This window comes from Homo sapiens, chromosome 6 (assembly GCF_000001405.40).
Source record: "Homo sapiens chromosome 6, GRCh38.p14 Primary Assembly".
NCBI classification, from domain to species: domain Eukaryota; kingdom Metazoa; phylum Chordata; class Mammalia; order Primates; family Hominidae; genus Homo; species Homo sapiens.
This window is the reverse complement of record NC_000006.12, coordinates 3,898,765-3,921,212: the sequence shown is the minus strand read 5'-3', so window position 1 is coordinate 3,921,212 and position 22,448 is coordinate 3,898,765. Positions and strand designations below refer to the sequence as shown.

General features: G+C 45.0%; 1 long non-coding RNA gene and 1 pseudogene across 1 annotated transcript, besides 3 other annotated features; both read left to right on the top strand.

The window, feature by feature from the left end:
* On the top strand, window positions 6,892-7,337 carry RPS25P7 (ribosomal protein S25 pseudogene 7; annotated as a pseudogene).
* On the top strand, window positions 9,211-16,072 carry TGILR (TGF-beta induced TARBP2 interacting lncRNA). Its single transcript, NR_198974.1, has one exon. It is a non-coding gene; the product is annotated as a TGF-beta induced TARBP2 interacting lncRNA (long non-coding RNA).
* Window positions 9,284-9,481: a silencer, noted in NCBI's record as "fragment chr6:3911966-3912163 (GRCh37/hg19 assembly coordinates)". NCBI's record gives its function as "represses an EF-1alpha promoter that drives an FKBP-Casp9 reporter gene in an ReSE screen in phorbol 12-myristate 13-acetate-treated (for megakaryocytic differentiation) K562 erythroleukemia cells {active_cell/tissue: K562(+PMA)}" and the evidence as "EXISTENCE:reporter gene assay evidence [ECO:0000049][PMID:32094911]".
* Window positions 17,051-17,552: an enhancer, noted in NCBI's record as "H3K4me1 hESC enhancer chr6:3903895-3904396 (GRCh37/hg19 assembly coordinates)". NCBI's record gives its function as "activates a minimal SCP1, AML or CMV promoter by ChIP-STARR-seq in naive H9 embryonic stem cells {active_cell/tissue: H9 hESC(naive)}" and the evidence as "EXISTENCE:reporter gene assay evidence [ECO:0000049][PMID:30033119]".
* Window positions 20,374-21,573: an enhancer, noted in NCBI's record as "BRD4-independent group 4 enhancer chr6:3899874-3901073 (GRCh37/hg19 assembly coordinates)". NCBI's record gives its function as "activates an origin of replication core promoter dependent on BRD2, P300/CBP, MED14 and CDK7 cofactors, and independent of BRD4, by STARR-seq in HCT116 cells {active_cell/tissue: HCT116}" and the evidence as "EXISTENCE:reporter gene assay evidence [ECO:0000049][PMID:35650434]".

Genomic DNA, 22,448 nt, shown 5'->3' with positions numbered 1-22,448 from the left:
CATGTTAGGGTTCACGCTGTATGTGGTACTTTCTATGGGTTTGGACAAATTTATAATGACACATTGTAAGGAAAAATTGTATTTTTCTATCTACACTCACAGAATACTTCTGGCCATCAAATGTGTGGGTTTTTTGGAATGTCCTACAACTCAATTGACTTCAGATACTGTCTACTTAGAGTTGGTGCGGACCCCACAGGTTAAGTGCTCAGTCCCACAGGAATGCTCCCCTACTTCAGTTGCCAGAGGCAAGTCCAGACTGTCACCTGTGCTTCCAAGCTTCTGCCTGTAAATCAGAAACGGCCTCTATCCCCTCCTCAAGTTTGAAAATTTGCTAGAGCAGCTCACAGAACTACTAGAGTACCTGTTTACTATAAAAGGATACAACAGCCAGATGGAGATGCACACAGCAGCACATGGGGAAAGGGTCAAGGAGCTTCCACACCTTCTTCAGGTGAGCCCCCTCCACATGTTCACCCACTGAAAGCTCTCAGAACCCCGTCCTTTTGATTTTTGATGAAGGCATCCACACACACACACACATGATCAAGTCATTGGCCGTTGGCGATGGACTCAACTCTCAGCCCCTCTCTACCCCCAGGACTGGTCAGTGGGCTAAAAATTACAAACCTCTCATCGCCTGGCTGGTTCCCCTGGAGACCTGCCCCCATCCTGAGGCTATCCAGGAGCCCCCAGCCACCAGTCACTTCATTAGTATACAAAAGACCTTGATCACTCTGGGATTCCAAGGGTTTAGGAGTTGTGTGCCAGGAAATGGGGGCAGAGAGTAAATATAGTCGTTCAGTGCAGAGGATGTTTAGGTCAAGGCTGGGCATAGTGGCTCATATCTGTAATCCCAACATTTTGGGAGGCCGAAGTGGGTGAATTGCTTGAGGCCAGGAGTTCAAGATCATCCTAGGCAACACGGTGAAACCTTATCTCTACAAAAAATACAAAATTAGTTGGGTGTGGTAGTGAGCGCCTGTAGTCTCAGCTACGCAGGAGACTGAGGTAGGAGGATCACTTGAACGCCAAAGGCAGAGGTTGCAGTGAGCCAAGATTGCACCACTACACTCCAGCCTGGGCAACAGAGCAAGACACTGTCTCAAAAGAAAAGGATGTTTAGTTCAATGACGGACCACATATACCATAGTGATCCTGAGACAGCCAGGTGGGAGGGGGTCCCGGGAGAAACTCCAATCAGCCTGCCCACTTTGCAGCGGGGAGGAGCCTGGCCCCTCCTCTTCCTGTGTGGAACCTGGGATTCAGGGATTCAAGCTGCATGCGGGAAGTGCACTAGCAGGGATTCTGGCCTAGCGAGAGTCCCTGTTTCCCCCTTTCCTTCCTTTTCATCCAATAAAACCCTGTCTTACTCACCATTCAAATTGTTTGCAAGCCTGAATTTTTATGGCCATGGGACAAAGAACCCTGTCTTTAGCTGAACTAAGAAAAAGTCCTGCAACAATACCATAAGATTGTAATGGAGCTGAAAGTTTTCTGTCATCTAGTGATGTTGTAGGTGTTGAAACATCCAAGACCAACCCATTACCTTTTCTATGTTTGGATATGCAAATACTCGCCATTGTGTTATAATTGACTATAGTATTCAGCACAGTAACATGCTGCACATGTGATAGTAGGTAGCTAGCCAGGCATGAGTGGGGCAGGAGAGGGCTCCCTCCCCCCACCTACCAGGAATGTCAAGTGATCATCAGGTGATAGTCAGGCAGTTGTCACAGTGCCTCTCTAAAAATAATAATTGGCAGCTGGAGCCAGGGAGAGGCAATTTCCTGATGGCCCACAACTGTCACACTAGAGCGATAATTGGTCACAGGCCCAGGGAGAGGCAATTTCACAATATATAAAAAATACTTGAAATTGGTAATTGGCAGCTCAGGAATTCGGTGAGTAGGCTCAGGCATGCACATTAAGAAACAAAATGGCGAAGAAGGACCTTCCTGGGACATTCCGCCAGGGAAGGGAAGGAAGCCTCAGGCAAGCATGCATACAACTCCAGTAAACACACTGCGCATGCTCACCTCCCAAGTATTAACAGGCCACCACACGTGCAGGCAGCCCACCCTAAGGGAGGAACCATGGAAAAGGGATGCAAGACCCTGGAAATATGCCAACATATAAAACCCCGAGTCAAAAAGTCAAATGCCACACTTGACCTTCAAAGTGTCCACTTGGATCTCTTCCAACGGTACTTTCCTTTCTTTGCTACTCTACAGCTTCTTAATAAACTTCCACTCCTGCTCTGAAACTTGCCTCGGTCTCTTTTTCTGCCTTATACCCCTCAATTGAATTCTTTCTTCTGAGGAGGCAAGAATTGAGGTTGCTCCATATGGATTTGCCACCGGTAAATCAGATATTCGCCACCTCTAACATACAGGTTTGTAGCCTAGGAGCAATAGGCTCTACCATGTAGCTGTAAACCAAAAGTCAAATTCTAAGCAACCCCAGCCAATGGAATGGACTCCTCCTCCTGGCCAAGGGCATTCTAAAGTAAATCTGAAACACTAGTTCAGGCCATGATGGGAAGCGGGAGTCGGACACGCCTCATTACACCTTTCTCCCTTTGGGATTCAGGTGCAGCTGGCCAGCATTAACATTAAAATAGAGACTTTGCAAATGACACAACAGACTCTGTAGCAATAAGATACCAACATGACAGATAGCAGACCCTGAAAGAAATCAAAGTATTTTACCCCAAAATATATTTCTTTGACATATTTTGAAATGGCCCTGAAAAGTTGTCTCTTGTAGGGGAAATCTATATTCTGTAAAGAATCCTCCTCCATTTCCAGGTCTTTTCCTGATCTAGGAGAGAATTAACTAAGACTCTGGTACCTTTTTTTTTTCTGAGGTGGAGTTTCGCTCTTGTTGCCCGGGCTGGAGTGCAATGGTGCGATCTCGGCTCACTGCAATCTCTGCCTCCTGGGTTCAAGTGATTCTCCTGCCTCAGCCTCCCGAGTGGCTGGGATTACAGGCAGGCACCACCATACCCAGCTAATTTTGTATTTTTAGTAGAGATGGGGTTTCACCATGTTGGTCAGGCTGGTCTTGAACTCCTGACCTCAGGTGATCTGCCCACCTCAGCCTCCCAAAGTGTTGGGATTACAGGCGTGAGCCACTGTGCCTGGCGAGTCTAGTATCTTTTTACGTCTGATAAAAAACATTTGCAATCTATTCTCTCTGAAACCTGCTACCTGGAGGTCTGGAGGCTTCATCTGCATAATAAGAACCTTGGTCTCCACAACCCCTTATCTTATCCCAGATACTCCCTTCTGTTGATTCCACGTCTTTAGATAAATTTTAGAAAATTTTTGAATCCAGCTATGACCTGAAAGCCCACCTACTTTCAAGTTGTCCTCCACCTTTGAGTTGTTCCACCTTTCCAGACCAAAAAAATGTATAACTCACAGGTATTGGTTGATGTTTCATGTCTCATTATGAAATGTATAAAACCAAGCTGTAGCCTGATGGTATGGGCACATGTTCTCAGGATCTTCTGGGGCTGTGTCACGGGCCATGGTCACTCACATTTGGCTCAGAATAAATCTCTTCAAATATTTTACACAATTTGACTCTTTTCAATCACATAGCCTAGATGTGTAGTGGGCTATACCATCTAGGTTTGTGTGTATACATTCTATGATGTTTGAACAATGAAATTGCCTAACAACACATTTCTTAGAAGCTATCCCTGTCATTCAGTGATGTATGATTGTATATATTTTTTCTTATGTCACAGATGTATCCACCATTATGGTATCATACAGATTAGTTTCACTTACCTAAAAATCCTCTGTGTCTTCCCTGTCCTCTAACCCTGGGCAACCACTGATTATTTTACTGTGTCCATAGTTTTGCCTCTCACAGAAATCTCCTGTAGCAGAAATTGTACAGGATATAGCCTTTTCAAATTTGCTTATCTCACTTCTAATATGCATTTAAGTTTCCACCATGTCTTTTCATGGTTGCCAAGACCAGCTCAGTCTGGGGAGACCCTAACCCAGTGGTGCTAGAGGAATTAAAGACACACACACAGAAATATTGAGGTGTGGAGTGGGAAATCAGGGGTCTCACAGCCTTCAGAGCTGAGAGCTCTGAATAGAGATTTACCCACGTATTTACTGACAGCAAGCCAGTGGTAAGCATTGTTTGTATAGATTATAGATTAACTAAAAGTATTCCTTATGGGAAATGAAGGGATGGGCCAAAATGAAGGGTTAGGTTTGGCTAGTTATCTGCAGCAGGAGCATGTCCTTAAGGCACAGATCACTCATGCTATTGTTGGTGTTTTAAGAATGCTTTTAAGCGGTTTTCCGCCCTGGGTGGGCCAGGTGTTCCTTGCCCTCATTCTGGTAAACCCACAACCTTCCAGCGTGGGTGTCATGACCATCATGAACATGTCACAGTGCTGCAGAGATTTTCTTTATGGCAAGTTTTGGGGCCAGTTTATGGCCAGATTTTGGGGGGCCTGTTCCCAATAATGGTTTGACAGCTCACTTCTTTTAGCAATGGATAATATTTCATTGTCTGGAAGTACCACAGTTTATTTATTAACTCACCTACTAAAGAATGTTTTGGTTGCCTCCAAGTTTTGGCAATTATAAATAAAGCTGCTATAAACATCCATGTGCAGGTTTTTAAGTGGACCTAAATTTTCAACTTCACTGAGTAAGTATCAAAGAACATGGCTGCTTGTATGAATGTTTAGTTTTATAGGAACCTGCCAAACGGCCTTCTAAGTGATTGTACTGTTTTGCATTCTCACCAGCAATGATTGAAAGTTCCTGTTGTGTCACATCCTCTCCAGCATTTGGTGTTGTTAGAGTTTGCATTTTAGCTATTCTAATAGGTGCATAGCAGTATCTCATTGTTTTAGTTTCCAGTTGCTAATGACAGATGATGCTGAGCATCTTTTCATATGATTATTTTCCATCTCTATATCTTTTTTGGTGAGAAATATGTTCAGATTTGTTCCCGATTTTATAACTGGGTTAATTGTTTTCTTATTGTTGAGTCTTAATTATTTTTATGTTTGTTTTGCATATTTTGGATAACAGTCCTTTATCAGATACGTGTTTTGCAAATTTTTCTCCAGAAAAAAATATGTACTTTTTTCTAATTTGGTCTTGAGGACTCTCTCTGCAGAGTGGCTATAAACTCTAGCCTCACCCTACTGGAGCTCCAGCAGGTTTGGTTGTGGATGTTTGCAATGTGCCTTTTGGGGGGTACTTCTTTATCCTGGCAGATGGCCTAATGCCAAAGTGTCTGATCTGTGAGGAGGTATCCTTCTCACACAACAAACCTGTTTATACTGGCAGACTCCCTTGGGACTCTGGTCTGAACTGTGTCTAGTTTATTCCTATGAACATAGCCACTGTCTAGGAGAGCCCTAACTAGGAAAGAAGTTAGGTTTGGGCGTGTTAATCAGGTGAGACCCAGAGGAGGCAACCCAATAAAACACACGGAATACCAGGAGCCGTGTATTACTTACAGGTCCCAGAGAGAACAGGGCAGCATGCCTCACAGGGCCAAGGGAAAGGGGGAAGCCATCCTGGACACACACACTCAACCAGCATGTGGCGAGCAAGAGAGGCGTGGGGAGGGACTGGCGGGCCAGGCTTTATTCAAGTCTAAGATGTGAAACGGGCAGGTTTCTCGTGGGGAGTTCAAATTAGTGGCTTCACAGCAAGCAGGCATGAATTCTGAGTTCTGCTGTGACTGAGAGGTGGTCACTGTGGAATATCTGTGTTGTCCATGCAGAATGTGGGGGTCAGTGGAGTGCTTCAAGCAAGTTGTATCTAGCTGTCCCATAGAGAGGTGGTCACCAGGAGGTGGTTGTATGGGGCAGATATTTGGATCAAGCACCTTGAGGAACTGGGAGGAGGTGGAGAACTGGAAACCACATCAAAGGTGGTTGAGCCCTGCTTCTTGTATGAGAATGAAAACGGAAATTGAGGTAACATCAAATGAAAGGAATTGACTGCACACTCTATTGCTGGTTTTTGCATTTTCTTAACTGGCTGTCACAGACTGAAGTTTTAATTTTAATGAAGTACAACTTATCAATGTTTTCTTTCATGGCTTGTGCTTTTGGTGTTTTAATTTTAATGAAGTACAGCTTATCAATGTTTTCTTTCATGGATTGTGCTTTTGGTGTTGTATCTAAGAAGTCATTGAAGGAATCATGGTAATCTGTATTCTCTCTGATGTTACTTTTTAGGAGTTTTATAGTTTTTCATTTTACTATTAGGTCTCTGATCTATTTGGAGTTAGTTTTTGTGAAGGGTGCAAAGACTATATATAAAGTTATATATATAGTTATATATATATATATATATATATATATATATATATATATATATATATATATAGTTATGGGGATATATATGCATTTGAACACCCGGTTTATAAACCGAAAACAAAATTCTAAGCCCCCAAACCATCTGAATGGAACCCTCCTCTTAGCAAGGGCGTTCGAAAGGTAACCTGAAAAGCGAGTTCAAGTCATGATGGGAAGCGGAGGTCAGACATGCCTCATTACATCCTCCTCCCTTTTGAAATTACTAATAGAACAGATTCTTTAAGTCTGATGAGAAATACAATCTATTCTCTCTGAAGCCTTCTACCAGGAGGCTTCATCTGTGTGATAAAACCTTGGTTTCCACAACCACTTATCTTAACCCAGACATTCCTAAGTCTTCAGACAATAACTTGACTCTCTCAACCAATTGCCAATCAGAAAATCTTTGAATCTACCTGTGACCTGGAAGCCCTTCAGCTTCCCGTTGTCCTGTCTTTCTGGACTGAATCAATGTACGTGTTATATGTATTTGATTGATGTCTCTTGTCTCATAAAATGTGTAAAATCGGTTCTCCGCTGCTCTCTGAGCTTCACAAGGGCACCCAAGGACAACAAGAAGAAGAAAGATGCCAAAAAGTTGGGCAAGAAAGACAAAGACCCAGTGAACAAATCCTGGGGCAAAGCCAAAATGAAGAAGTGATCCAAAGGCAAAGTTCGGGACAAGCTCAATAACTTAGTCTTGTTTGACAAAGCTACTTATGACAAACTCTGTAAGGAAGTTCCCAACTATAAACTTAGAGCTCCAGCTGTGGTCTCTAAGAGACTAAAGATTCGAGGTTCCCTGGCCAGAGCAGCCCTTCAGGAGCTCCTTAGTAAAGGACTTAACAAACTGTTTCAAAGCACAGAGTTCAAGTAATTTACACCAGAAATACCAAGGGCGGGGATGCTCCAGCTGCTGGTGAAGATGCATGAACAGGTTCAACCAATTGTACATTTGGAAAAATAAAACTTTATTAAATAAAAAAACAAAATAAAATAAAATGTATAAAACCAAGCTGTACCCTGACCCCACCTTGGGCACGTGTTCTCAGGATCTCCTGAGGGCTATGCCATGAGCCATTAGTCACTCATATTTGGCTCAGAACAAATCTCCTCAAATATTTACAGAGTTTGACTCTTTTGTGGACAAGTTGTTCCAGCTCTATTAGTTGAAAAGATGACCTTTGTTCCATTGAAATGTCTTTGTTCCTTTATTGAAGATCAGCTGACTATATTTATGTAAGTCTATTTCCAGGTTTTCTATTTTGTTCCATTGATCTTTTTCTCTGTTCTTTCACCAATACCACACTGCCTTCATTACCATAGCTTTATAGTAAATCTTGGAGTTGGATCCAGTGGTCCTTTTAAATAATAGTTACCATGAGTTAATCTTGACTATGTAGCAGGCACATCCATGGGCAATGAATAATGTATGTTCATTATCTCATGAACACAGCGACTCTGCAAGGTAGCATTCGTTATGTCTGTTTTACAGATTAGGAGGTAGGCTAAAGGAGTTAGTGTAATTTTTCCGAAGTCCTGAAGCTCGTCAGTGACAGAGCTTGGATTTGGAGTCTGTCCAGCCCTTTCCACCTATTCTTACTCCCTTGGCTTCCCACCCACTCTCATTTGCTGACTCACTGCCTATGAGGTAGTGTCTTTTGGCTTCCAAACTAGAGATTGGCAAGCACTGAGGAATGTTATAGGTCCCTAAAGCAAAACATAGGACAGACAGATGCTTAGAAAATTACTAAATATCATTTCCTTATTTGCAAGTAAAAAATCTCCCTTTCCATTTGCCCACTTAAGGCAAACTGCTTTTGTTTGTTTTTAAACAAAATTTTAGCCTCTAAGCTCTGCCAGAGACCTGGAGGGTGTGAAATTGTCTAAAGACCTATTATAGCAAGTGGAGAGCCTTTTCTCCTAAGTCCAGCTTCAGACCAAGGTGGCTTCTGCCGCTCTGATTTGTGTTTGTCTCTGTGATTTGTGCATTTCCAGGCCCCTCTGCTAGAGTACAGCATGCTTTCAAGCTAGGCTCTTTGGGCCTATGATTTTGACAATGTTCTGGCAGGTCTCAATAGAAACACTCCTGCTCGGAAATATTTTAATGGTAGGTGGAATAAGACAAATGACATATTTAGTGTAGAGTCTAGGACATAATAAGTGCTCACTAAACATTAGGCAACATTGTTAAGATTATGATTTTTGCTTGTCAGTCTCAAAATGTACTCCCTGTATATCCTTCATGATGCCTCGCTGTGACTATGGAGATGCTGCTTCATTGTCCTGTTTTGTTCCATTCATATATTGCCACTTCCAACATTCTGTTTCAAGTCACATTGAAGTCAGCATTCATTTGGCTGACAGCCTATCACAGGGCATCTTTCTGCATAAAATGAACCAATTTATAGTCATTGCTGACAGCTGTTTTTGAAGGAAAGACCATTTTCCTTAGTTGATTAGAGGAACAGTGATTAATTCAGCCCATCAGCCTGCAGCAGCAAATGCTAAAAAGGGCCTCGTTGTGTAAAGCCCCCCAAGTCTCTTAAAACCTACATTTTTGAATTTGTCAGAACTTCCTGAGCCCAGACTGGACCTCCAGAGGTCACTTAATGTACCCCTGGCCTCCTACACTATTTTTAAAGACCTCTGAAAAAAGACAGCTCCTGTTTCTCCTTGGCAGTGAGCCACCAGTGGGGGTGAATTTGGCAGCATCTCTGCTTCGGGATTCTGTGGACATTAGAGCGGGGGCCCTGCCTCAAAAAGTGACTCACTAGTGCCTGAAAGGCGATAAAGTCTGGTGACACATCACAGGGAATGTTTAAAGTGCATAGGGAGAGATTGTTTTCTTTCCCCCTCCTTGCACCTAGCAGGGAGAGGAGTGTGCGGAAAGATGGAGTTGAGACAGAAACTTGTTAGCATAACACCGAAGGAGTTTTGCTGTGAGTAGCATCAGCATAGCAGGAGAACATCCCTAGCTCTCCTGCCGCTGCTCTGCCACAAGGAGAGAAAGGGAAAAGCAAATTCAGCAGGACCTCTAGGACTTTGCTGTAGATCTCCAGGTGGAGCCAGGACCCTCCAGGAGAACTGATGGCTAGAAAAGACTGCAAGTAATGTGGAGGAAGGAAGAAGAGAGAGAGCAGAGAGAGATGATTCTTGCAAACATTGATCTGTGTAGAGCGGATGTCAACTTGATGGGATAAGACCTGGGTTGACTTGGTATCTGGGTTCAGGTCAGCAAACTCTAACGGCATTTCCTTCTACTAGCAGACAGATCTGCTCATCCTGCGACATTGTGGACAGTGCTGAATGGCTTCCAGAACATTCCTCTTATGTCTACTGGTTAAACTTTGAAGCATCTGAACCATTTGGGAGAGCAGGGACCCCCATGAACAGGAGATACTGGAGGTGTCTGAGGCCACTTCATGCCCTTTCTCAAGAGTGGCCTGCAGGTCTTTCAGCCACTGGCCACTGAAGTCCAGCTCCTGCCAGCCATGGATTTGGGCACTGGGCTCCAGTGTTGAGAAAGTTCTTGACTTCCAGCGCTTGTTTTCCTAGTGGACAATAGGAGTCAGAGACAGAGAGGGAGAGTGAAGATGCAGAAGACATATCCTTTCCATTGTGACCCAGATAAGAATGTAGCCGGTGAGCTTGCTTCCTGTCACTCATTTCCCAGCTATTTGTTGTAGTCCAAGTTGTGCATATTCTTTCTGTTAGGTTCTTATGTTTGTCTTAAGCTCACCCATCTTTTCTTCTTCCCTCATTTTTTCTTTATAAATCAAGAAAAATTCTGCCACTTTCTTTCCCTGGCTCACTGCACAGCCAATCAATAATTTTGAATCCTTTGTGTATCAATTTCTACTGGCTATTCATTATTTGTGGAAACCATATTAACGGGTCCATAAAAATCACAGCAATCCATTTGTTAAATTCATCATAAGAACAGATTACATCTTTCTGGCCAAGTTTCATGGTTTGGTAATATCATATTTTGGTTTTAGAATTTATAAGGTGCATTCTCCCATACTTTTCAAGTATATTTTTTATTCATTGCCCTCTCTGAATTAGGCATTTTTGGGGATGCACGTTTTACAGATATGGAGACAATGGTTCAGAGAAATCAGCTTGTTCACAGTGGGGCCAGAGCTGGGACCTAGGGCTTCTGACTCTATGTCTCAGGTCATTCCTATCACACACACACTGAAGGAGAAAAGAGTTCCCTTGTCTGGAGAAGACATATCAAATTCATGCGGGTTAAACACAGAAATTCCAAATAGCTGTAGTTTTTGTAAAAATGGTTGAGCTATGGACTTTTAAAGTAGTTGGCCACCTGTGGTGGTGGGTGGAAGGGAGTTAGGGCAGGATTGTTGTGCTTCAGGGAGGATTCAGTGTCTGCACGACCACGGAGGGGGGTGCAGGGCACCAGGTATCCAGGACTGTTGTCAAGAGTTATGCTTTGAATTTCCCAGAGAAGACACACTGCTGCGAAAGGAAGAAATCGTTGGTTTTTCTCCAACTGCTTAGCTGTTAAGAAGCAAGAAGCCTATCTCCAAGGCAGCAGCAGGCCTCAGAGAAAACAGTAGGACCCTTCCTTCAAACAAAGGAGAAAACTCCCACAACTCAAAGCAAGTGCCCCCTGGTCATTCTCTCAAAAAGCTACAGGCTCCAAAAAAAGACAGACTTCACAGGCTAGAGACGGGCTCTGCACTCAGGGTTGGTGGTCGGGGGCACAGAGCTGGCTGGGCAGGGCCAGAGGGGACCACATTCTGCCACATGCAGAGCAAAGCAGTATCTTTCTATTACTGGTCAATGTAATATGAGCTGGGAATGAGCAATTTCATACCTTTTTCTGAGATATTAAAAAGAAATACGCTGATGTGGCTGGAGGTAATTTCCCAAAGCCTGTGGATGGAGTTGATGTCAGTAACTGGCTATGAGGTTGTTATTTACAGGACTGTTTGATCCCACTGAAGTAGTGGTGCTTAATATGTAGCTCAATGTGGCTCAGGAGCGAGGCCCAATACTGCATATAAACCACCATCCTGCAATTTATCCAGAGAGCATGTGGGAGGTGAACCTTGAATCATTTGCTTGATGGATTTTTTTCTTTCCTTGGAAACAGAAAAACGAATCTCAGTTTTCTCCCTAAGCCTTAGGCAACAGGGCTCCTTGCAAGTCACCTTCCCTTCCTTGTCCCCAAAACAAAGATGCATACATGTTCCCCGAGCACTGCAAACACAGCCTTTCTTTCAGGGGCAGCTGGGTCCCTGGATCCGCTTTCCCTCCCCTGGGCTGGTCCCAGTGTAAATCATCAGATCTCCAGGTCCACTCGTCTGCACACAGGCTGCTTTGTAAGTGGGAGAAAGAATCCACAGAACTTTACACTAAATCCCCATGGGAACCAGGTGAATAGGTGTGTGTGTTTGCACACAAGCCCGTATACATGGCAAACCAATCCAAGAGATGGTGACCGATGGGTCCATAAAGACTCTGGCTGGCAATGCTGTCAGCTTCCTTCAGCTGAGCGTCAGTTAGTTACCCTGGTAGTCTCAAATGTCTCCTTGTGTCTGGAGACAACATAGGGCCTGGCCCTGAGGACTGCCAGGCTGGGTCGCCCGGCAGCTGCACCTGTTGTAGGCTGGGTAGGCCCCCTAAAATGCTTTGGGCAGCCCAAGAGTGTCTTCCTGAGTCATGTGGAGCTGCCTCACCAGCAGCCCAGTGAGAGATTCACAGCCCTAGTGGAGAGTGGAAGCCCTGGGCTATCCCAAGCAATCCTTGCGTCTGTGGGGCTGGTGCCGCCCCTTTGCGTCTCTTCTTGCAGCTAAGCAGAGCTCAGAGGCCAGGAAAAAAGCCACTGGGTGTCTTTGGAAACAGCTGACCTGATTTTCAACATTCCCTTTGAGCATTTGCTAAAGGGGCACCACAGAAGGGCATTAAGGATGCCACCGTGGAAGGAAGCTGCAGATGACAGAAGCGTGAGCACTGCTGGAAAATGAGAAAGCTGAGTTGGGACTGCGTGCCATGGAGAACCTGTACTGTCACCCTCCCCAGCCATCTGACTACCAGCAGCTTCAGCAGCATCATCATTTGCATTCATTCATCTCTTTTCCTCACTCCCTCCCTCGATGAATCTCTTTGGGAATGATCTTCAAAAACTTTGCTTAGGTTTCAAGGTGCTTTTGATTCACTGTATTTTTCTTTAAATAAGCCTTTTAATTGAGCACAACGTTCATAGAGAGAAGCGCACACATCCTGAGGGGTCAGCCCAAAGAATTTTCAGAAAGTGAACACGTGAGGGTGGCAAGCACCTGGACTAGGAACCAGAACACCGCCAGCGCCCCAGATGTGCCCTTTTAGTCCACTTCTAGTCACTGTGCTCCCATGAGGGTGCTCACCCTACCCTCTAGTACTGACATTGATGTTGCTTATTTGTGAACTTCACTTGAATGAACTCATGCAACAGCGTGTCTGTGAGGTTCATGCACGTTTCTGAACGTGGGATCGCTGAAGTGTGGGGTTGTATTCGAAACTGTAGTTTGCACTCAAAGAACAGCAAGTGGAAGAAAATTACTTTGGAAAGGAATTTTCAAATCGAGTGTGAATGAGAGGGTCTTTGGGACTTTGGCCTTTGGAGTTGAGCTGACCTAAAGGTAGAAGGTGAACTAGGATCCTCTTAGCTCCCCACTCCACTCTGAACTGTGCTCCCAGGGCAATCCAGCTTCTGCTCTCTTTTACTACTACTTCATGTAATGATAAAAATTATGTCAGGTTAAATATCAGTAATTGCTTAAGTGAGTTTGTATATCAAGCTGTGTAGTAACGCCTCACTGAAACACTGCTCAGCTGAGACTGAGATTCAGTGTGTTGACGAAAAGAGTTAAACTCTAACATATTTGAAGAGATTTATTCTGAGCCAAATATGAGAGACCATGGCCTGTGACACAGCCCTCAGGAGTCCTGAGGACATGTGCCCAAGGTGGTTGAGGTACAGCTTGGTTTTATGTATTTTAGGAAGGGATGAGACATCAATCAAATACATTTAAGAAACACATTGGTTTGGTTCAGAAAAGGCGGAACAACTCAAAGTGGGGAGGCTTCCAGGCTATAGGTAAATTTAAACATTTTCTGGTTGATAATTGGTAGAGTTTATTTGAAGGTCTGGAATTAATGGAAAGGAATGTTCAGGTTAAGATAAAGGACTGTGGAGACCAAGTTTTATTGTTCAGAGGAATCTCTCAGATAGCAGACTTCAGAGAGAGAGCAGGTTGTAAAATGTTTCTTATAAGACCTAAAAGGGTGCCTGGCTCTTAGTTGGTTATCTCCTGGGTCTGGAAAGAAAGGAAGGAAAACAAACGGGGAAGGAGATTCTCTGTAGATTGTGGATTTTTCCCACAGAGACTTTGCAGGACAATTTCAAGGCATGGCAAGGAAATGTATTTTGGGGTAAAACATTTCGATTTTCTTCCTTGTTATGCCAGAGTCAGATTGGAAAGTAAGTCACTATATACAGGGTCAAATAAAACCCATCTGATGAGAATTTATGGTTTGTAGGGTATGACTCCCTAGACCCCTTAGATAGGAATTTGGGCAAGATAAAAAAAATCAGATCTTAGTCCTCAAGTGTAAAGCAGATCAATTGAGAATCCAAATCTGCAGGGTATAAGGTCAGACGCAGTCAACCGATGCATGAACCAAGAAGCATTTATAGAAGCCTCTGGCGCTTTTCCTTTGCTCACCTCTGTCCACAGGCTCTGAACTAATTCCTTCATTTTTTTTTAAATTTGCAAATAAGATTACTGTATTATAGATTTGAAGATGCACCCAATTATTTTATAAGCTTTTTTTTATGTAACACTAAGAAATTAAAAAAATGCTGAAGGTGCAGTCTAGTAGGAGACCCTGCAGCTGAAATGCTGAAGTCATTCTTTGTGTGCAGGAAACAAGAAAAAAGCCTGCCATGCAGAAAGTCACTGAGAAACCTGCTGGCCTCCATGGTGGCACGTGGGGGAGGGAGGAGAAGAAAACTCCTGAAAGAATGTGGACCACACAGCATGCTCTGGTGGGTATGTGGGCTGACAAAGAACAGGGAGCGCTAACAGTGAAAATGAAGAGCCTGCCCCGCCTCCCAGCGTGGACCTTGACCTGGGGCCAGACCAAGGCCACTTTATAGAAACGTCCCTGGAGCGTGTCTCAGGTGGCCCTGCCTGCATCCTGGCCTACCTCTGGGGCCCTTCTTACCCACAGTCCTACTTTCCACCCACCTTGACCCCAAGAGGTGTTCATTTATAACGCCCCTGCATCTTCTCAACTTCAAAGTCAGCTCGGACCTCGTTCACCCAGACAAGACCTTGGCTGAGTCTTGACAAACTGGCACAGGGTCCCCCGACAGAAGACAGCTTTCCTTTCTCTTTGCTTTCCTTTATCTTAGCCGAGTCCGGCCTCCCCAGCACTCTTTTCCATCTGGGGACAGTTCGTGCTGGTGGGAATTGGCAGGGGCACACGGTCCAGACAGAGACAACTGAAACACAGGTGTCCCGCTGGTGTGCCAGCAGGGCGGCCGTCCTACCAGGAGCAGGACACTTTGTTGGCCACTGCCCATGCAATAATCAGCGTGGGACAAACAGTCCCATGGGGAGTGAGGTGATGTGAAGAAAAGGAAGCCGAAGAAGAGAAGAAGCTGAAGGGCCAGTAAACACACACATAGACGCTCACCCTCCCCTTCGTTGGAAAAATGAACGGCTGCTGTTGCCGAGGGCTGGTGAGGATGAGGCCCCAGGCCTGCAGGAGGGCACATCCGGTTGGCCGCCTCGACGGGGCCATCTGGGTAGCTGCTGCCCTTTGCATGTAAATAAAGCTCCTCAAAGCCCCATTTCACAACTGCTGGGAGAAACAGCATCCTTCCCTCCTTCCCTATATTTCCAGGGAGGAGGTGGCTGGTTTTTTTTGTTGTTGTGTTTTTTTTGTTTGTTTGTTTTGTTTTGTTTTGTTTTTTCCAGATTTCTCCCAGCCACATCCAGCTTCTTGTTCTGTAATTTTTTTTTCCAAATTACTGACTGCCTTCTTTCAAGGGGAAATGGAACTCAGAAAGATGGGAAGATACATGATAAGAGCACTTAAGAGAGAAGCCTGTCCATTTCCACTAAGGTTGAAGTGTGCATACTCCAGGATCCAGTCCTTCATGTCTACACAAGGAGTCCCAGGAAAAGGTCTGTGCAAAACGTTTGTAATTGCAACGGAGCAGCCACGACCTAGCCCTCCTTCAGCAGAGGAATGAATAAACTGGTTTATTCAGTCAACGCAGCAGTTAAAATGAGAGAATTAGTGATGTTGAAAGGAAAAATGAAGAGCAAACAGATACAGTAGGAAGTTATCACGTACATTTCAAAAACATTCAAAACAACCGTACATATTTATGGATTCATGTAATAATGCAGTAAAAATACAAAATCAGAGCCAGGACTGTGGCACACTGAATTCAGCACAATGGTCGTCTCTAAATGTGGGTTCATGTGGGAGGAGGTGACCCCGGGGTGGGGGCTTCTGCTGTATTTGTCATGTTTGGGTTATTTGAAAGGGAGAGAGAGCACTGTAGTTATACAGTAAAATGCAAACATATTTTTTATTTTAGTGGTGAGTATACAGGTGTCTGTTGTGCTGTTTTCTGTGTGTTTGAATGGTTTCATAATTTTTAGAAAATTAAACCATGAGGTCGGATATGGTGGCTCACCCCTGTAATTCCAGCACTTTGGGGGGTCAGAGCAGAAGGATTGCTTGAAGACCAGCCTGGGCAACATAGCAAGATTCTATCTTTACAATTTCTAAAACATTTTTCAATTTAAAAATGATAAACAATGAAAAACTGCAAAGAAATAGATTGAAAAGTTCACAGTTGCTTTTGCCACATTTTGTGAATATGTTATTTTTATAATGAAAAATTACAGATAATTTTGATTGCTTTGAAAAGTAATTATGTGGAAAAGAAAAACAAATAGCAAACCATGGCATAGTTCCTGAGGCCTGCATCTTTCTAGCAGCCTCTTGGCAAATCGGGAGCTCTTTGTGAGGTGTGATTACCAAAACCCGCTGGAAGGGTATCAGCACCACCTCACAATGAACCCAGTGTTGCTAATTCTGACGCCAATATTTCCACAGGACTCAGTTGATGGAATCTTCCTGAATGTGTTATTTATGGTACCAAATGAAAAAAGACCTCATTTACCAGCCACACTCTAGGCTGCAAAGAGACAGATTTTTAGGCAGGTTCTTCATTTTATTTTTGCCCCATTTAAAACCAGCATCTTTGTAGTAACCAAAGTTAATTCAGGGCACATTTTGCTGCATTAGGTCCTGGGCCTGTGATCACTAAGACCTTTTGAAATGTAAATAAAGCTCCCAAACCCCCATTTCACAAATACTGGGAAAGCCAGGCTCCCTCCCAAATTTCCAGGGCGGAGAGGCGCGCGTTAAGATTCCTCCCAGTCGCCTCTAGCTTCTTGTTTCGGAATCCCTGCCCCAGATTACTGATCGTCTCACTGCATTATCTTCCTGAATTTGTGTCTCCTTCAGGGGGGATACCTCCCACCTCAAGGTGTGAGAAATTGGGGCACCCATGGGAGAGATGGAGGTGGCTACATTACTGCACCCCAAAACCTCCTGAAGATAAACGTCACATATCCTTGCAATCAAATCCCCGGTTGTTAAACGCCCTCTGCTCTCCTTGCCGGCAGGAACTTCCCAGTAGCTCTTTCCCAAGTGGAACCTCCCCTGTCATTTTGTTTGTTTGTTTGTTTGTTTGTGGTTTTTCATCTGGGTTTTGTTGTTGTTGTTGTTGTTGTTGAGAAGGAGCCTCGCTCTGTCACCCAGGCTGGAGTGCAGTGGCGTGATCCTGGCTCACTGCAACCTCCGCCTCCCGGGTTCAAGCGATTCTCCGGCCTCAGCCTCCCGAGTAGCTGGGACTACAGGCGCCCGCCACCACGCCCGGCTAATTTTTTGTATTTTTAGTAGAGACGGGGTTTCACCGTGTTAGCCAGGATGGTCTCGATCTCCTGACCTCGTGATCCGCCCGCCTCGGCCTCCCAAAGTGCTGGGATTACAGGCGTGAGCCACTGCACCTGGCCTTGGTCTAGGGTCTCTTAGTCTTTCACTCTCAGGCACTTTGAGGAAATGTATTAAACAGGACAATTTTGTTTTAATAGTCTCACTCTTGGCTTTGCCGCACGAGCTATGTTTTTGTTTCTAAAACAAAAATAAGGTTTACCAAAACAAGATGATCCTTAAGGATTTGGCTAAAAAAGAATTCTCTATGCCAAGTGAAACTATGCCTGCGGAAGTTAAATTCTCACCACCCTCCCACTCTGCACCAGCCCTGCCACCAGCCTCACTCCTTGAAAGTCTAGTTTGGGAATCAGAACATATCCAGAACAAAATGGAACCATGTTGTGCTAGGTGTCAAATGAATGATGCAAGCAAGAAATGTTGTAGGCATTGGTATGGCATGGAGGAGAAAACTAAGGCCTTGTACTACCTGCTCAGGAAGGTTAGGAAATGACAGAAACGGAAACCGAGTTTCAATAGCAGCATCTCTGAACTGGCTTTTTGTATTCTCGGGCTGATTTTGCAGGCTGGTAGCAGTTCCCTGTCTAGAAGATACAATGGACCCAGAGCCATCAGCTGCTTCCTGGGGGAAGTGGTGGTGGCTGGGGAGGGGGATCGTGATTCTGCTGCAGGATAATTGCCAAGGACAGAGGGAGGGCTGTGTTCTCCTGCCTGAAGATGGAAGTAAAGGAACATTTTAACTGGGCAAAACCCTTCAATCCTAGCCCAGCTGAGCAGGGAGTTGGTTTTCGAAAGCAGAGCTATACGGACAGCCCCTGTGCCGGATATGACCTCCTATATTAAGAAAAAGTGGAAAAAACAGAACTGAAAGGAGTAGAGATCTTCCTACAGTGCCAAGGCAGGCTTTAAGTCAGCTTTAGAAATAAATCAGCTGTGAGCAAATAACACCTCGCACAGTGCTCGGTCCTCAGCAACTACTCAGTTAAAGTCTGTTGAACGGATCAGGGATAACTGAACTCAGGAATCTAAGGAATAAGCATGATATAATTAATTGCAGCTCTGGTCTTAAGATTTCCTTGGGTTTCACCCCTGGCTGAGATGATACCACAAGGGAGCCTCTCTGTTGCCTCCCGCAGCCCTGCCCTGAGCTGAGACCCATCTGTAGGGCGTCAGGGCAGGAGGCGGCTGCAGCTTTCCCCAAAGATGAGTGAGCTCACGCCACAGCTTGGAGAAAGGAGGCACGAGCACAGTCATGTTACCGAGGCCAGGGCAGGGCTGAAGCCCCCCTCTCTCCATAGCCGTGTCTTACTATGACAAGGAACAAGTTTTTTCTCCACTTTTCCCTCCACTCCTAGGTTCAGGTCAACATGAGGGTGACCATCGCCAGGGTCAGTGCATTTGGTAGGAGACCAGGGACCGTTTCTGGGAATGTCAGGAATCTTGTCTTTCAAATGCTCACTTCACTTCACAGCCCCTGCGAGTGCCCTGAACCTTTGCAAGGTATGTTCTAAGAAAGGGAACAAGGCCGGGCGCGGTGGCTCACGCCTGTAATCCCAGCACTTTGGGAGGCTGAGACGGGTGGATCACGAGGTCAGGAGATTGAGACCATCCTGGCTAACATGGTGAAACCCCGTCTCTACTAAAAATACAAAAAATTAGCCAGGCATGGTGGCGGGTGCCTGTAGTCCCAGCTACTCGGGAGGCTGAGGCAGGAGAATGGCGTGAACCCGGGAGGCAGAGCTTGCAGTGAGCCAAGATCGCGCCACTGCACTCCAGCCTGGGTGACAGAGCGAGACTCCATCTCAAAAAAAAAAAAAAAAAAAAAAAAAAGAAAGAAAGAAAGGAAACAAATGAGGATGAGAGGAAACAGCTATGAAATCCTCAGAATCAGGTTCCACCAGAGATCCAAGCCCCAGTGCAGGAGTGGCCCCCTGTTCACTGGCTTTCTCCAAAAACGGCACCAGTGGGGGCCAGACACTTCACGTCTGGGCTGAGCATCTTTCCAAGCACGAACTGCCCAGCCTATGGAAGTGCAGGGCGCATGAGAGAAGAGAGGATTTATTCAACGACACAGAGTTCTTATTTATTTTTACTTTAGAGGACCATCCAGAATGCATTTCCACCCTGCTTTCCTTCTGTGGCTGCTACTGTAGCTCTTATTTATACCATCATCCCTTAAAACAAGGTGAAGTAGATGTGGGACTTGAAAGAATGAATTGTGCGGCCTTGAGCACACGGTTGTTCAGCAGAGGTGCCCTTCCCAGCCTGCCTGGTGCTGTCAGAACCATGGCTGGAGGGAGTGCCTCCCACTGTCCTCAAGTCCTCCCTGGGAGGTGACCATGTCTGTTTCATTTGTGCTGATCCCTGAAGGAGACACAGAGGGCAACGGAGTAACTATTGGTGCAAACCATCGGAATAAGATGCTTATTTCAATGTTGCAATGGAAGTCAGAATTTTCTGGTCAATCTGCAATATAATTTAAGCTAATACAAGCCTGCTATTAGAATTAACTAGATAGAGAGAGGGATAGTGAGCGGGGAGATGGCCCATTTGATCAGCAGAGCTTCTTGAAACTTGGATATGGTAAGAGGGTTGTGTGTCACCCTGAGTGACAGAGGTGGCCCCACTTGGTATTGTGTAAAATCACTAGCCAATGTTGTATGGATGATGTCACCACTGACATGTACGCATTCCTGTCGTCTCTTGCCTGCAAACTGATGGTGAGATACTTGTGGTAAAAATTATTTCTCATGCATCCTTCATGCTTAGCAAAGTGCTGCATTGACTTTTGCTTATTTTGTGGATGTTTGCCAGTGAATCTTTGACCCAGAATTGGAAGCAGAACCCAGACAGGTTGGCTCGTCTTACGCAAACCACTGGTGCAGGTTTGCACTGAGTGGAACGTATCCACTAATTAGCCTAGAGATAAAAATTCTTAGGAGATAAACTTCATTATGGAAAATTTCATTAAATTTTTATAAATATTGAGAAGGGAAATAGTGTAGTATAATCCTCCTGTATTCATCATCCAGTTTAACAATTGTCACCTCATACCCAATCTTTTTTCACCTGTACTGTCCCCCACCTGGATTGTTTTGTAGCAAATCCCAGACATCGCATCATTTTGTCCATAAATATTTCAGTATGCCTCTCTAAAATAGTAAAACTCTTTACAAAATAACCTTAATATCAATATTGTACCTAAAATAATGAACAATAATTACACAATCTTATCAGATAGTTATTGAATTTTCCAGTTTTGCTGATTATCTTATAAAGTTTTATAATGGTTTTTTTCAATTGACAAAATCAGGACTTCACCAGAGCAGGTAAAATCACTGAGATGGTTCTTGGGTCTCTGAAGTCTCTTCTAATCTCTACTGTTTCTCTTCCTCACCACCTGTTTGGAATGTTGTGAGGTACATGGATGTGCTTTGGTCAAAGAATAGGCCGAGGCGGACACCCAGGCCTGCATGACTCAGTGAGTTTCGCGTGCCAGCGCACACCTCCACTTGTTATATAACCTGTTTGTGTAAGTTCATACTTGGCTCTGAGCCACTATTGTCTGTAAAAGGTATAACTGTCCTGGTGATGCTGTACAGAGGCTCTTGGCTCTTGGGGCTCAGCTTTGCCTCAACGTGGCTTCACGTGGCGGGCACCCTGGTGCCCAGAGAGAGAACCAGAGCTGTCCGTCCTGCAGATGGACACAGGGGAGCCACAGCACGGCTCGCGCTGGTGCCCAGAGAGAGAAAGAGTGAAGCTGCTGACCCTGAAGGCAAGGCAGAGTCTGCCATGCAGCTGCAGATGTCGGGGTGACAGGAGCCGCAGAGCCGGAGCAAACGGCTGAGATAAGAGCGGACAGCGTGAGAGAAGCTGCCCATGAAAGCGCTGGTGTGAAAAAGCTGTTAATGAAAGCGGCTGCTGAATAAAACCATATTCACCTGCCTAGAGCTCCCCAAGCGTTCTTTCCGCTCATCCACCCACTCCCCTCGGACCGCAGCATGGGCTGGACCTGGACCCCAGGATCTGAAAAATGTATTTGTTGAAGAAATACAATTTTTGTCCTGTAGAACCTGCAATTTGCTAATTGCATTTATGTGGTATCTTTGAACATGTCTCTGTCCTCTGTATTTCTGGTAGTTAGATCTCGGGTCCAATGTCTTTGTCAAGAATACTTCCCAGATGGTGTGTGTACCTCAGCTGCAGGACCCTTATGCTTGGTTGTTGCCCATCATTACCATAGGTTATTTCATCAGAGGTGGCAAAATGGTGATTTTCTAATTTTTAATTCATTTTTTCCTTTATTTTGTTTGCTGGAATACTTCTATAAAGAGAAACTTTCCCTCATCAACTATTTGATGATGTAAGGTGCAGTTTATATAAAGCCAGATACATGCTGGATTCTTTTCCCTTACTGACCAGTTTTTAAAACGAGTTGGTTTCCTAGTCTCCTGCAACCAGTGATTTTGATACAGAATGGTTGGGCTCCTGGCTAAACCCCACCCTTGGGCCTGGAGCCGCAGCCCTAAGTGAAAACAGCTGACCCCGTTTTCCACCCAAATGTTGCCTTTTTGGCCTGCCATGCCCCTATCCTGTGCCCATAAAAAGACTTCAGCTGGCAGAGCAACACAAGCGGCTGATGCAAGGGGTCGGGGATGCAAGCTGCTGAACGTAGGGGATGCAAGCGGCTGAGCATCAGAGACTACAGATAGACGCAGCTAACCTCAGACGGTGCAGCTTCAGGGAAAGATCACCTTCTTCCCGCACCATCCCCTTTCCAATTCCCCATTCTGCTGAGAGCCACATCCATCGACCAATAAAATCCTCTGCATACACTACCCTTCAATCTGTTCCTGTGACCTAATTCTTCCTGGACACCAAACAAGAACCTGGGTGCCGAGAGGGCAAGGGCTTGGATGCTGCTGTGGGGCCTGCGCAGAGTCTGCTCTCATCAGAGAGGAGCGACCAGCTGTTTCCAGCATTTGTTCCCTCCAGTTCCAGCACTCACCTGCTCACACGCTCCCTCTCGCGAGGA